Source organism: Homo sapiens, chromosome 6 (assembly GCF_000001405.40).
Source record: "Homo sapiens chromosome 6, GRCh38.p14 Primary Assembly".
NCBI classification, from domain to species: Eukaryota; Metazoa; Chordata; class Mammalia; order Primates; family Hominidae; genus Homo; species Homo sapiens.
This window is the reverse complement of record NC_000006.12, coordinates 159,666,497-159,682,794: the sequence shown is the minus strand read 5'-3', so window position 1 is coordinate 159,682,794 and position 16,298 is coordinate 159,666,497. Positions and strand designations below refer to the sequence as shown.

Genomic DNA, 16,298 nt, shown 5'->3' with positions numbered 1-16,298 from the left:
CTTATCTAGATTTCCTACTTATATAAAAAAACAAGTGAATGAGATTGTTACAAAGGGTAATTTTGTGTGAGTAGAATAATAAAAGTTGAAATTGAGAAGATGCAATGTTTTAGACTGAAACTGATGGTTGGTTTGTTTTCCCCTTCTTTCTAACAGGCCTTATTCCACTGCTGGGGATTGATGTGTGGGAGCACGCTTACTACCTTCAGTATAAAAATGTCAGGCCTGATTATCTAAAAGCTATTTGGAATGTAATCAACTGGGAGAATGTAACTGAAAGATACATGGCTTGCAAAAAGTAAACCACGATCGTTATGCTGAGTATGTTAAGCTCTTTATGACTGTTTTTGTAGTGGTATAGAGTACTGCAGAATACAGTAAGCTGCTCTATTGTAGCATTTCTTGATGTTGCTTAGTCACTTATTTCATAAACAACTTAATGTTCTGAATAATTTCTTACTAAACATTTTGTTATTGGGCAAGTGATTGAAAATAGTAAATGCTTTGTGTGATTGAATCTGATTGGACATTTTCTTCAGAGAGCTAAATTACAATTGTCATTTATAAAACCATCAAAAATATTCCATCCATATACTTTGGGGACTTGTAGGGATGCCTTTCTAGTCCTATTCTATTGCAGTTATAGAAAATCTAGTCTTTTGCCCCAGTTACTTAAAAATAAAATATTAACACTTTCCCAAGGGAAACACTCGGCTTTCTATAGAAAATTGCACTTTTTGTCGAGTAATCCTCTGCAGTGATACTTCTGGTAGATGTCACCCAGTGGTTTTTGTTAGGTCAAATGTTCCTGTATAGTTTTTGCAAATAGAGCTGTATACTGTTTAAATGTAGCAGGTGAACTGAACTGGGGTTTGCTCACCTGCACAGTAAAGGCAAACTTCAACAGCAAAACTGCAAAAAGGTGGTTTTTGCAGTAGGAGAAAGGAGGATGTTTATTTGCAGGGCGCCAAGCAAGGAGAATTGGGCAGCTCATGCTTGAGACCCAATCTCCATGATGACCTACAAGCTAGAGTATTTAAAGGCAGTGGTAAATTTCAGGAAAGCAGAAGTTAAAGGCAAAATTGTAAATCAGTCGAGATCGGGTGCCTTCAGGGTGGTATGGCTGTATACCAAAATTGTAAATCACTACATGAAGCTTATATATTGGTTTGGCCTGAAAGGTGAAGTGGGGTAGGCAGGGGGCGGGCTTACAGGTTATGGTGGATTCAAAGACTCCCTGATTTGTGATTGGTTAAGGAAGCAAAGCTTTGTCTAAAAACTTGGGGTCCGCAGAAAGGAACATTAAGGTCTGGCCAGGCCCCTCAGGAAGAAACTGAGAGCAAAGAATGGAGGTCAGAGTTTAGTCCCTGGTGTTCCCCCTTATCTGACGTCTGTGTGAATCCATTTGGTGGGGGTCTGGGTTTCTGAAAAGTAGCTCAGGGGCACGTGTTAAGGATGTCTCTAGGTGACTCTAACTTCCCTGGCTATTGTTTGAAACTGTTATGACCTTCTTGCTTATCAGCTTGCTGGTTTCCTTCTCGGGGCGAGCTGGGTGCCTGGAGTTTTCGGTGAAGGAAACTCAAGATTCTCCTTTATTTCTGTGCTTGTGGGAATCCCCCTGGCACACCCCAAAGAGGGGTCCCTGCTCCGTCTCACAGGGATCTTTTTGTATATTTGGCTTAGCATCATACATTTGCCATGTTGTTTCATCATCTGCCTAATTTACTGTTTTTGAATATTTCATTTGTTTCTAATTGTTACTACAGATAATGCTGGGGTGAGCAACTCTGTGTACATAGGTTTATCTCCTATTGGAATATTTTCTTTATATAGGCGTTTTTTTTTTTTCTTTTTTTTTGGAGACAGAGTCTTGCTCTGTTGCCCAGGCTGGAGTGCAGTGGCGCGACCGGAGCTCACTGCAACCTCCACTTCCCGGGTTCAAGTGATTGTCCCACCTCAGCCTCCTGAATAGCTGGGATTACAGGTGCATGCTACCATGCCTGGCTACTTTTTGTATTTTTAGCAGAGACAGGGTTTCACCATGTTGGCCAGGGTGGTCTCGAACTCCTGACCTCAAGTGATCCGTCTGGCTCAGCCTCCCAAAGTGCTGGGATTACAGGTGTGAGCCACTGCACCTGGCCTATATAGGCTTTTTTCTTAAACCTATTTAGTAATGTTTTCCCAAGTTTATTTTTTATTTTTAATTTTTTCCCCAAGTTTATTTTTCTATTTTTTTTTCATGGAAAAATGGGGTAACTTAGCAGTTTCAATATTGAAGACTGAAGTTTAAAAAAAATTTAAATTCAAGGTACTTTTAAAATTCAGTTAGAAAAGTAGGCTTTAAAAATTATTAGAGACAAGAGTACCAAAGCGGTGTGTGTATGTGTGTGTGTGTATGCATGCTTGTGGATTGGAAAAACTTTGGAGACTGATTACTTTTCATTATATATGTGTCACAGTGAAACAGCTTTTATGTGTCATGTAAGATTACTGCTTGCCTCTCTAAGGAAGGTCGTGACTGTTTAAATAGACGGGCAAGGTGGAACCTTTTGAAAGATGAGCTTTTGAATATAAGTTGTCTGCTAGATCATGGTTTGTATTGAACTAACAAGGTTTGCAGATCTGCTGACTTATATAAAGCTTTTTGATTCCTACTAAGCTTTAAGATTTAAAAAATGTTCAATGTTGAAATTTCTGTGGGGCTCTATTTTTGCTTTGGCTTTCTGGTGAGAGAGTGAGGAAGCATTCTTTCCTTCACTAAGTTTGTCTTTCTTGTCTTCTGGATAGATTGATTTTAAGAGACTAAGGGAATTTACAAACTAAAGATTTTAGTCATCTGGTGGAAAAGGAGACTTTAAGATTGTTTAGGGCTGGGCGGGGTGACTCACATCTGTAATCCCAGCACTTTGGGAGGCCAAGGCAGGCAGAACACTTGAAGGAGTTCAAGACCAGCGTGGCCAACGTGGTGAAACCCTGTCTCTACTAAAAATACAAAAATTGTTTAGCTCTGTTTTTCATAATAGAAATAGAAAAGGTAAAATTGCTTTTCTTCTGAAAAGAACAAGTATTGTTCATCCAAGAAGGGTTTTTGTGACTGAATCAGCAGTGCCTGCCCTAGTCATAGCTGTGCTTCAAAAACCTCAGCATGATTAGTGTTGGAGCAAAACAAGGAAGCAAAGCAAATACTGTTTTTGAAATTCTATCTGTTGCTTGAACTATTTTGTAATAATTAAACTTTGATGTTGAGAAATCACAACTTTATTGTACACTTCATTGCAACTTGAAATTCATGGTCTTAAAGTGAGATTTGAATTTCTATTGAGCGCCTTTAAAAAAGTAATACCAAACCATAAAGTTAAAATCTATGTATATTGAGTCATATCTAAAACCACGTATAAACATAAATTGTATTTCCTGTTTTAATTCCAGGGGAAGTACTGTTTGGGAAAGCTATTATTAGGTAAATGTTTTACAAATTACTGTTTCTCACTTTCAGTCATACCCTAATGATCCCAGCAAGATAATGTCCTGTCTTCTAAGATGTGCATCAAGCCTGGTACATACTGAAAACCCTATAAGGTCCTGGATAATTTTTGTTTGATTATTCATTGAAGAAACATTTATTTTCCAATTGTGTGAAGTTTTTGACTGTTAATAAAAGAATCTGTCAACCATCAAAGAGGTCTGCATTATGCTTGCATGTCAAAAACTTTAAAAATCCTATAATCTTCTGTCATTTTCACTGAGTTTCCATGGGAAAGGAATAGTAAATAATGGGTAGTTGAAATATTACTCTTAAGACCAAGACCTGTATCTCCAGTCATATCTGTAATAACATCATCTGATAACCTAAAAGCATAGTATTAGGGATATACGACAAAACCAAAGTGTTTTTGCTGTTGTCACATACCACTCAATACTTTTACACCAGGTTGTCCAGTGGACACCAGCTGGATGTCCTATAATTCAATTCTGACACTGTCTACCTGGAATTGGAGTCAGATCCCACAGGTGGAGGGCTCAGCCCACAAGACTGCCCCCACTCCAGATACCAATCGCAAGTCCCTATACTTCTGACTGGCTATAAAGTGGGGTTCCCGTGACCCTTTCCTTGGTTTTGATTTATTTGCTAGAGCAGCTCCCAGAACACAGAGAAACACTCTACTTATGTTTACCCATTTTTAATTTTATTACTTTATTAAAACTACATATTGGTTACAATACTAATTTATTGTAAAGGATATTTCATTTATTTATTTTTTTATTTAGAGATGGAGTCTCACTGTGTCACCCAGGCTGGAGTGCGGTGGCACAGTCTCAACTCACTGCAACCTCCACCTCCTGAGTTCAAGCGATTCTCATGCCTCAGCCTCCCAAGTAGCTGGGATTACAAGTGTGCACCACCATGCCCAGCTAATTTTTGTATTTTTAGTAGAGATGGGGTTTCACTCTGTTGGCCAGGCTGGTCTCAAACTCCTGACCTCAAGTCATCCACCCACCTCAGCCTCCCAAAGTGCTGAGATTACAGGTGTGAGCCATTGCCTCTGGCTTGTAAAGGATATTTCAAAGAATACAGATGAACAGCCAGATGGAAGAGATGCACAGGGCAAGGCATGTGGGAAGGGGTATGGAGCTTTCATGCTCTCTCCACGTCATCAGCTACCCAGAAGCTCATCTGGACCCCGACCCTTTGGGGTTTTACGGAGGCTTCATTATGTCAGCATTACCATTGGCAATTGGCGATTAACTCAACCTTCAGCCTCTCTCCCCTTTCTGGAGGTTGGGGGTTGAGGCTGGGAGTCCAAACCCTCCAATCTTGCCTTGGTCTTTCTGGTAAGCAGCCCCCCGTCCTGAAGCTACCTAGAGGCTCCCAGCCACCAATCATTTCATTGGCAAACCAAAGATACTTCAAGGGGTTTAGGAGCCAAGAGACCAAGCAAGGATTGAGACAATATATATATTTCTTATAAATAACATGATCACAAATAGTATTTTATATATTTCTCATAATAGCTGGTTGTGGTTACTCACACCTATCATCCCAGCTACTAAGAAGCTAAGGCAGGAGGATCACAGGCCCAGGAGTTTGCAGCTGTAGTGAGCTATGATTGTGCTACTGCACTCCAGCCTGGGTGACAGTGTGAGACCCTGTCTCTTAAAGTTCTTGTAACATCTTAGAACATTAACCAACCACAGATTATTGCCTTAACTCTGAAAAATAAAGTAATCATACTTTTACAAGATGTATTTTACATAAAGTTCTGGTGATATTTTACTCTGGTCATTGGAATATAGGAGCTTACCACCTGGTACCACTCTTCCTAAAGTGGTATACTATTTGGTATAGTACTGGCATACTATTTGGAAAGGGATGTGAAGTTGGCATGACCTGTCTAGGGTGAAGTCATGCTGTCTGCTATTCATTGTGGGCTTTACAGTAATGAGAGTGCTTCTGTTGTCAAGATGCTTCTGGGACACGTTAAAAAAAATTTAAGATTTCTCAGTTTGTGAAAAGGAAGGAGCACGAATGCTTTCAAGTTCCTATGACATGCTAGTCATCTTTCAGTGTGTCCCATTGTTGCACCCAGTAGTCTCGATGCCCAGCGTCACGGTGATTCCAAGTTTGCCTCTCTGCCCACTATAATTTGTGCTCCATGAAGTCCCAGGACATGAGGTTCTTGTTCATTTGTGCGTCTGGGCCCATATCCAAATATTAAACAATGTGACTTAATGTATTTATCATATTGTAAATATGGGTATCCCCAAGGCTCAGAAGTTAACACAGCATATCCACAGAGAGGTTTGACAGCATGGCTGTGGTGACTGGGAAGGCCTTATGCTTGCTCCTCCTTCTGCTGCTTGCCTTTGTGTGGGCATGGAAAGAACATTGAATTAGGTACTGGAAGACCTGGGTCCTGGTCTTGGAGATTTTACCAGAGCACCTGTGGGATATTGGTCAAGATGCCTGGTTTTAGTCCTGCTCCTTTGCTGTGAAAGAGGATCTTAAGGTGCCAACTCTGGCATTTTATTTTTTACTTATTTATTTTTAAATTATACTTTAAGTTCTAGGGTACATGTGTACAACATGCAGGTTTGTTACATGTATACATGTGCCATGTTGGTGTGCTGCACCTATTAACTCGTCATTTACATTAGGTATATCTCCTAATGCTATCCCTCCCCCTTCTCCCCACCCCTCGACAGGCCCCGGTGTGTGATGTTCCCCTTCCTGTGTCCAAGTGTTCTCATTGTTCAATTCCCATCTATGAGTGAGAACATGCGGTGTTTGTTTTTTTGTCCTTGGAATAGTTTGCTGAGAAGGATGGTTTCCAGCTTCATCCATGTCCCTATAAAGGACATGAACTCTTCCTTTTTTATGGCTGCATAGTATTCCATGGTGTATATGTGCCACATCTTCTTAAACCAATCTATCATTGATGGACATTTGGGTTGGTTCCAAGTCTTTGCTATTGTGAACAGTGCCACAATAAATATACGTGTGCATGTGTCTTTATAGCAGCATGATTTATAATCCTTTGGGTATATACCCAGTAATGGGATGGCTGGGTCAAATGGTATTTCTAGTTCTAGATCCCTGAGGAATCGCCACACTGTCTTCCACAATGGTTGAACTAGTTTACAGTCCCACCACCAGTGTAAAAGTGTTCCTATTTCTCCACATCCTCTCCAGCACCTGTTGTTTCCTGACTTTTTAATGATTGACATTCTAACTGGTGTGAGATGGTATCTCATTGTGGTTTTGATTTGCATTTCTCTGATGGCCCATGATGATGAGCATTTTTTTCATGTGTCTGTTGGATGCATGGATGTCTTCTTTTGAGAAGTGTCTCTTCATATCCTTCACCTACTTTTTGATGGGGTTTGTTTTTTTCTTGTAAGTTTGTTTGAGTTCCTTGTAGATTCTGGATATTAGCCCTTTGTCAGATGAGTAGATTGCAAAAATTTTCTCCCATTTTGTAGGTTGCCTGTTCACTCTGATGGTAGTTTCTTTTGCTGTGCAGAAGCTCTTGAGTTTAATGAGATCCCATTTGTCAATTTTGGCTTCTGTTGCCATTGCTTTTGGTGTTTTAGACATGAAGTCCTTGCCCATGCCTGTGTCCTGAATGGTACTGCATAGGTTTTCTTCTAGGGTTTTTATGGTTTTAGGTCTAACATTTAAGTCTTTAATCCATCTTGAATTAATTTTTGTATAAGGTGTAAGGAAGGGATCCAGTTTCAGCTTTCTACATGTGGCTAGCCAGTTTTCCCAGCACCATTTATTAAATAGGGAATCCTTTCCCCATTTCTTGTTTTTGTCAGGTTTCTCAAAGATCAGATAGTTGTAGATGTGTGGTATTATTTCTGAGGGCTCTGTTCTGTTCCATTGGTCTATATCTCTGTTTTGGTACTAGTACCATGCTGTTTTGGTTACTGCAGCCTTGTAGTATAGTTTGAAATCAGGTAGCGTGATGCCTCCAGCTTTGTTCTTTTGGCTTAGGATCGTTTTGGCAGTGCAGGCTCTTTTTTGGTTCCACATGAACTTTAAAGTAGTTTTTTCCAATTCTATGAAGAAAGTCATGGGTAGCTTGATGGGGATGGCATTGAATCTATAAATTACCTTGGGCAGTATAGCCATTTTCACGATATTGATTCTTCCTATCCATGAGCATGGAATGTTCTTCCATTTGTTTGTGTCCTCTTTTATTTCCTTGAGCAGTGGTTTGTAGTTCTCCTTGAAGAGGTCCTTCACATCCCTTGTAAGTTGGATTCCTAGGTATTTTATTCTCTTTGAGGCAGTTGTGAATGGGAGTTCACTCATGATTTGGCTCTCTGTTTGTCTGTTGTTGGTGTATAAGAATGCTTGTGATTTTTGCACATTGATTTTGTATCCTGAGATTTTGCTGAAGTTGCTTATCAAATTAAGGAGATTTTGGGCTGAGATGATGGGGTTTTCTAAATATAAAATCATGTCATCTGCAAACAGGGACAATTTGACTTCCTCTTTTCCTTATTGAATACCCTTTATTTCTTTCTCCTGCCTGATGGCCCTGGCCAGAACTTCCAACACTATGTTGAATAGGAGTGGTGAGAGAGGGCATCCCTGTCTTGTGCCAGTTTTCAAAGGGAATGCTTCCAGTTTTTGCCCATTCAGTCTGATATTGGCTGTGGGTTTGTCATAGATAGCTCTTATTATTTTGAGATATGTCCCATCAATACCTAATTCATTGAGAGTTTTTAGCATGAAGGGCTGTTGAATTTTGTCCAAGGCCTTTTCTGCATCTGTTGAGATAATCATGTGGTTTTTGTCTTTGGTTCTGTTTATATGCTGGATTACTTTTATTGATTTGTGTATGTTGAACCAGCCTTGCATCCCAGGGATGAAGCCCACTTGATCATGGTGGATAAGCTTTTTGATATGCTGCTGGATTCAGTTTGCCAGTATTTTATTGAGGATTTTTGCATTGATTTTCATCAGGGATATTGGTCTAAAGTTCTCTTTTTTTGTTATGTCTCTGCCAGGCTTTGGTATCAGGATGATGCTGGCTTCATAAAATGAGTTAGGGAGGATTCCCTCTTTTTCTATTGATTGGAATAGTTTCAGAAGGAATGGTACCAGCTCTTCCTTGTACCTCTGGTAGAATTCGGCTGTGAATCCATCTTGTCCTGGACTTTTTTTGGTTGGTAGGCTATTAATTATTGCCTCAATTTCAGAGCCTGTTATTGGTCTATTCAGGGATTAAACTTCTTCCTGGTTTAGTTTTGAGAGGGTGTATGTGTCCAGGAATTTATCTATTTCTTCTAGATTTTCTAGTTTATTTGCATAGAGGTGTTTATAGTATTCTCTGTGTACTCTGTATTTCTGTGGGATTGGTGGTGATATCCACTTTATCATTTTTTATTGCATTTATTTGATTCTTCTCTCTTTTCTTGTTTATTAGTCTTGCTAGCGGTCTATCAATTGTGTTTATCTTTTCAAAAAACCAGCTCCTGGATTCATTCATTTTTTGAAGGTTTTTTTGTGTCTCTGTCTCCTTCAGTTCTGCTCTGATCTTAGTTATTTCTTGTCTTCTGCTAGCTGTTGAATGTGTTTGCTCTTGCTTCTCTAATATTTTTAATTGTGATGTTAGAGTGTCAATTTTAGATCTTTCCTGCTTTCTCTTGTGGGCACTTAGTGCTGTAAATTTCCCTCTACACACTGCTTTAAATGTGTCCCAGAGATTCTGGTATGTTGTGTCTTTGTTCTCGTTGGTTTCAAAGAACATCTTTATTTCTGCCTTCATTTTGTTATGTACCCAGTAGTCATTCAGGAGCAGGTTGTTCAGTTTCCATGTAGCTGAGTGGTTTTGAGTGAGTTTCTTAATCCTGAGTTCTAGTTTGATTGCACTGTGGTCTGAGACAGTATGTTATAATTTCTGTTCTTTTACATTTGCTGAGGAGTGCTTTACTTCCAACTATGTGGTCAATTTTGGAATAGGTGCGATGTGGTGCTGAGAAGAATGTATATTCTGTTGATTTGGGGTGGAGAGTTCTGTAGATGTCTATTAGGTCTGCTTGGTGCAGAGCTGAATTCAATTCCTGGATATCCTTGTTAACTTTCTGTCTCGTTGATCTGTCTAATATTGACAGTGGGGTGTTAGAGTCTCCCATTGTTATTGTGTGGGAGTCTAAATCTCTTTGTAGGTCTCTAAGGACTTGGTTTATGAATCTGGGTGCTCCTGTATTGGGTGCATATATATTTAAGATAGTTAGCTCTTCTTGTTGAATTGATCCCTTTACTATCATGTAATGGCCTTCTTTGTCTCTTTTGATCTTTGTTGGTTTAAAGTCTGTTTTATCAGAGACTAGGATTGCAACCCCGGCCTTTTTTTTTGTTTTCCGTTTGCTTGGTAGATCTTCCTCCATCCTTTTATTTTGAGCCTATGTGTGTGTGTCTCTGTACGTGAGATGGGTTTCCTGAATACAGCACCCTGATGGGTCTTGACTCTTTATCCAGTGTGCCAGTCTGTGTCTTTTAATTGGAGCATTTAGCCCATTTACATTTAAGGTTAATATTGTTATGTGTGAATTTGATCCTGTCACTAGGATGTTCACTGGTTATTTTGCTCGTTAGTTGATGCAGTTTCTTCCTAGCCTCAATGGTCTTTACAATTTGGCATGTTTTTGCAGTGGCTGATACTGGTTGTTCCATTCCATGTTTAGTGCTTCCTTCAGGAGCTCTTGTAAGGCAGGCCTGGTGGTGACAAAATCTCTCAGCATTTGCTTGTTTGTAAAGGATTTTATTTCTCCTTCACTTATGAAGCTTAGTTTGGCTGGATATGAAATTCTGGGTTGAAAATTCTTTTCTTCAAGAACGTTGAATATTGACCCCCACTCTCTTCTGGCTTGTAGAGTTTCTGCTGAGAGATCAGCTGTTAGTCTGATGGGCTTCCCTTTGTGGGTAACCCGACCTTTCTCTCTGGCTGCCCTTAACATTTTTTCCTTCATTTCAACTTTGGTGAATCTGACAATTATGTGTCTTGGAGTTGCTCTTCTCGAGGAGTATCTTTGTGGCGTTCTCTGTATTTCCTGAATTTGAATGTTGTCCTCCCTTGCTAGATTGGGGAAGTTCTCCTGGATAATATCCTGCAGAGTGTTTTCCAGCTTGGTTCCATTCTCCCCGTCACTTTCAGGTACACCAATCAGACGTAGATTTGGTCTTTTCACATAGTCCCATATTTCTTGGAAGCTTTGTTCGTTTCTTTTTACTCTTTTTTCTCTTAACTTCTCTTCTCACTTCATTTCATTCATCTGATCTTCAATCACTGATAACCTTTCTTCCAGTTGATCGAATTGGCTACTGAAGCTTGTGCATTCGTCACGTAGTTCTCATGCCATGGTTTTCAGCTCCATCAGGTCATTTAAGGACTTCTCTATGCTGGTTATTCTAGTTAGCCATTTGTCTAATCTTTTTTCAAGGTTTTTAGGTTCTTTGTGATGGGTTCGAACTTCCTCTTTTAGCTTGGAGAAGTTTGATCATCTGAAGCCTTCTTCTCTCAACTCGTCAAAGTCATTCTCCGTCCAGCTTTGTTCTGTTGCTGGCAAGGAGCTATGTTCCTTTGGAGGGGGAGAGGCGCTCTGATTTTTAGAATTTTCAGCTTTTCTGCTCTGTTTTTTCCCCATCTTTGTGGTTTTATCTACCTTTGGTCTTTGGTGATGGTGATGTGCAGATGGGGTTTTGGTGTGGATGTCCTTTCTGTTTGTTAGTTTTCCTTCTAACAGTCAGGACCGCCAGCTGCAGGTCTGTTGGAGTTTGCTGGACGTCCACGCCAGACCCTGTTTGCCTGGGTATCACAGTGGAGGCTGTAGAACAGCGAATATTGCTGAACAGCAAATGTTGCTGCCTGATCATTCCTCTGGAAGCTTCATCTCAGAGGGGTACCCGGCCATGTGGGGTGTCAGTCTGCCCCTACTTGGGGGTGCCTCCCAGTTAGGCTACTCGGGGGTCAGGGACTCACTTGAGGAGGCAGTCTCTCCGTTCTCAGATCTCAAACTCTGTGCTGGGAGAACCACTGGTCTCTTCAAAGCTGTCAGACAGGGACATTGAAGTCTGCAGAGATTTCTGCTGCCTTTTGTTCGGCTATGCCATGCCCCCAGAGGTGGAGTCTACAGAGGCAGGCAGGCAGGCCTCCTTGAGCTGCAGTGGGCTCCACCTAGTTCGAGCTTCCCGGCTGCTTTATTTACCTACTGAAGCCTCAGCAATGGTGGGCTCCCCTCCCCTAGCCTCACTGCCACCTTGCAGTTCGATCTCAGACTGCTGTGCTAGCAATGAGCAAGGCTCCATGGGCGTGGGACCCTCCGAGCTAGGCACAGGATATAATCTCCTGGTGTGCCGTTTGCTAAGACCATTGGAAAAACGCAGTATTAGGGTGGGAGTGACCCAATTTTCCAGGTGCCGTCTGTCACAGCTTCCCTTGGCTAGGAAAGGGAATTCCCTGACCCCTTGCCTTCCCGGGTGAGGCCATGCCTTGCCCTGCTTCAGCTCATGCTCAGTGGGCTGCACCCACCGTCCTACACCCACTGTCCAACAAGCCCCAGTGAGATGAACCTGGTACCTCAGTTGGAAGTGCAGAAATCACCTGTCTTCTGCGTCGCTCACGCTGGGAGCTGTAGACTGGAGCTGTTCCTATTCGGCCATCTTGGAACCCAACCCAAGTCTGGCATTTTTTGGTTTTCTCTGTGTATTGACTATGATTATAGAGGATAAATGGATATTGATATTATTAAATCGTCATTTACAGAAGGCACACAACTTATATCCTTTAAACAAAGTTCTCCAACCAGTAGGGTATACTTGCTGGTAGTGCTTACAGCTGCCACCATTCTTCACTGGGGCTCAGAGTGGATGCCTGGAGGAAAAAAACAAATGAATCTTTTAGCTCCTAGTTACTGTTAGCATTTTTACCAGAAAACAATTTAAAAAATGACACAAGTAAGTCTTCACCTATCAAGGCTGAGTGTGGTGGCCTATACTTGTAATCTCTGTGCTTTGGGAGGCCAACGCAGGAGGATCTCTTGAGTCCAGGAGTTTGAGACCAGCCTGGGCAACAAAGCAAGACCCCATCTCTACAGAAAGTTAAAATTTAGCTGGGCATGCTGGCACATCCCTATAGTCCCAGCTACTTGAGAGGCTGAGTTGGGAGGATCCCTTGAGGTCATGAGTTGGAGTCTACAGTGAGCTGTGATTACAGTGTGAGTCTACACTGCACTCCAGTCTGGGTGAAAGAGATCCTGTCTCTCAAAAAACAAGTGATTCTCCTGGGAAGAGATTTGTTTAAAAAGTCTGCACCTCTATTGATGATAACTTTGAATGTAAATGGATTAAATTCTCCCACTTAAAAGATATAGATTGACTGAATGGATTAAAAACCACCATCATGACTCGACTGTATGCTGCCTACAAGAAACCTCACCTGTAAAGACAGGCCAAAAGTGAAGGTATGGAGAAAGATATTGCATACAAATGGAAGCCAAAAAAGAGCAGAAATAACTATACTTACATGAGATAAAATAGACTTTAAGTCAAAAACTGTAAAAAGAAAAGTCATTATGTAATGAAACAAGGATCAATTCATGCAAGATATAATCATATTTTTTTATTAAGAAAATTTTTTTGTAGAGATGGGGTTATGCTATGTTGCCTGGCTAGTCTCAAACTCTGGGTCTCAAAGCAGTCCTCCTGCTTTGGCCTCCTAAGGTGCTGGGATTATAGGCATGAGCCACTGTGCCAGGCCTGAGGATATTATCATTATAAATATATATGTACCCCACACTGGATGACCCAGATATAAAGCAAATATTATTAGATTTAAAGGGAGAAATAGACTCTAATACAATAGTAGTTGAGGACTTCACTCTACTCTCAGCATTGGACAGATTTTCTAGACATAAAACCAATAAATATTGGATTTAAATTGCACTTTACACCAAATGGACCTGACATTTACAGAACATTCTAATAGGTGCAGAACACTCTAATAGCTGCAGAACACACGTTCTTTTCATCAGCACATGGAACATTCACCAGACTAGTTCTGGAACCCACTTCCTGCCTTAGTGTTCTTTCCACCACAGTGCATGATAATTCCGACAGAACGCCTTTTATTTGTACCTTATTAGTTGTAGGGGGAAAGCTTTTTCATGTACAAAAATGCTGTAATTTTCTGATTTAATAAAGTAATTCCACTGATGTTTTTATTTACTTCTTGATATACATGTTTTAAATGTATCCTTTCATTTCCTCCTTAGTCCCAAAGTATATCATTGTTTACAAAACAGTTTTTTACCCCCTAAAAAGCTTATTTTTATTTGGTTAAGCTTTTCTGTAAGAATGCCTGGGATGAGCCCAAAGTGAATGTACCCCTGCAAAGAGGGTAGATGAAAGACAGTGTGTGGCTTTAATTTCTATTTTTGGGGAACTCAACCATCAAATGGTTAAGGAATAAGATTCCTTATGTGGTTCTTGTAAACAAATTGAGATTTTGGTTGGGGGGTGTCAAAAGTGACATTTTCATTTTTTTCAGACAAAATGAGATATTTGGGGCCAGATTCGGGCCTTTGCATGGTGTATACTGAATGATCAATTTTCTCACTTTGAGTGTGTCAAACCTTCTGTCTCAAGAGTCACTCCTCCAGGGCTTTCCTTTTTTTTTTTTTTTTTTTTTTTTTTTGAGGTGGAGTTTTACTTTTGTTGCCTAGGCTGGAGTGCAAAGGTGCAATCTTGGCTTACCACAACCTCCGCCTCTCAGGTTCCAGCGATTCTCCTGCCTCAGCCTCCGGAGTAGCTGGGATTACAGGCATGCGCCACCACACCCAACTAATTTTGGATTTTTAGTAGAGGTGGGGTTTCTCCATGTTGGTCAGGCTGGTCTTTAACTCCTGACCTCAGGTGATACGCCCGCCTTGGCCTCCCAAAGTGCTGGGATTACAGGCGTGAGCCACCACGCCCGGCCTTCAGGGCTCTCTCTCCCTTTCAGCATCAATGTCAACATGTCAGGGATGGTCTTTATTTTGCAGTTTCCTTCTGAGACAAACTCCTTGAACGTGTAGACTTCAGTCCCCCTTCTTTCTCATCTCCCATCCTCTGATCTTGCTGCCACGCCCAGTGTGTGTTTGAACACCGTGCTGAACATTTGTAGTTTTGTCTGACACATTTTTCTTTTTTTTTTTTTTGCTATGGTCCCCGGTATAGTGATGGCCACCTGTCCCAAGATGGGATTCACTGGGTTTCTTCCTTCAAATTTTTAAGACTACAATTTTAAAAGACAGTTGGTTCCTCTCTTTATTACTGAGAACTATTAAATGTCTTTCTTTTTTTCTTTTCTTTTTTTTTTTTTTTGAGATGGAGTTTCGCTCTTGTTGCCTGGGCTGGAGTGTAATGGTGCGATCTTGGCTTACTGCAGCCTGCACCTCTCAGGTTCCAGCAATTCTCCTGCCTCAGCCTCCGGAGTAGCTGGGATTACAGGCATGTGCCACCATGCCTGGCTAATTTTGTATTTTTAGTAGAGACAGGGTTTCTCCATGTTGGTCAGGCTGGTCTTGAACTCTTGACCTCAGATGATCTGCCCACCTCGGCCTCCCAAAGTGCTGGGATTACAGGCGTGAGCCACCGTGCCCAGCCAAATGTCTTTCTTTTATTTAAGCCAAATGGTTCTCATTCCTGGGTACACATTAGAGCCACTTCAAAGGAGTTTTACCCAAATAATGATGCCAGGCTCTACCCATGAAAGACTGATTCAATCAGTCTGAACATGGATATGGGCCTTGCTCTGTCACCCACGCTGGAGTGCAGTGGCACAATCAGGGCTCACTGCAGCCTTAACCTCTTGGGCTCAAGTTATCCTCCCATCTCAGCCCACCCCTCCCAAGTAGGTGGGACTACAGGGATGTGCTACCAAACCCAGCTGATTTTTTTTTTTTTTTTAATGTTAGTAGAGATGAGGTTTATCTGTGTTGCCCAGGCTGGTCTTGAACTCAGCTCAAGTGATCCTCCCATCTCAGCCTCCCAAGTGTTGGGATTACAGGCATGAGCCACTACGCCCGGCAACAAGTGATTCTAATACACATCTAGGGCCAAGAATCATAAACATGGAGCTTCACTGTGAGAGAGACCAGCCCAGAAAAGCACGGAGTAAGCCCAGGCTGATCACTCTGCGTCCTGTGCAGGACTGCTGGATGGATGCTAGAGATGGACATCTGCTCCTTGTCTGCTCAGCACCTGTGGGAGACATGGCTGCTGTCCACCAAAGGCTTAGGTTTCCCTCCCATTGTGCAGAGTGGCTGCTGGGAGCTGTTGCCCAGCCAGGTATGACTTTTGCAAGACTTCCTTTCACATAGTGGGGCCGCATGGCTAGTTCTGTATGTGACCAGAGGTGAAGAAATGGGTGTGTCTTCTTAATCTTCTTCACCCCTTTCTGCTGGCTTGAGAGGAGTGAGTGCTACTATTTTATTTTTTTGTTTGTTTTTAACTTTTTATTTTATTTTTGTCTTATTTTTTACATACAGATGGGGTTTTGCCAAGTTTCCCAGGCTGGTCTCGAACTCCCCAGCTCAAGCAATCTGCCCGCCTTAGCCTCCCAAAGTGCTGGTATTACAGGCATAAGCCACCATGCCTGGCTTATTGTTAGAAATTTAGAAGCCACTTGTTGAAGCTGGCACAGATACAGAAGAGAAGAAACCCGTTTCCTCAAATCACTGCTTCAAAGAAAGCTTCCCGATCAAGAACACGCAGATTACGTGAGTGGTTGGGCATGGTGGCTCAT

At 41.5% G+C, this 16,298-nt stretch overlaps 1 protein-coding gene across 8 annotated transcripts in view; it reads left to right on the top strand.

Annotated features, from left to right (window-relative positions):
* The window catches only part of SOD2 (superoxide dismutase 2), a 93,213-nt gene extending 79,487 nt beyond the window's left edge, over positions 1–13,726 (top strand). For 5 of the 8 annotated variants that reach the window (NM_001322819.2, NM_001322820.2, NM_001322814.2 and 2 more), the window contains one exon: positions 157–13,726. In NM_001322819.2, the coding sequence (NP_001309748.1) occupies positions 157–302 (146 nt within the window). In that variant the 3' untranslated portion in view covers positions 303–13,726. The remainder of the gene's footprint in view (positions 1–156) is intronic. The other 3 variants (NM_001322817.2, NM_001024466.3, NM_001024465.3) reach the window with 1 other exon arrangement.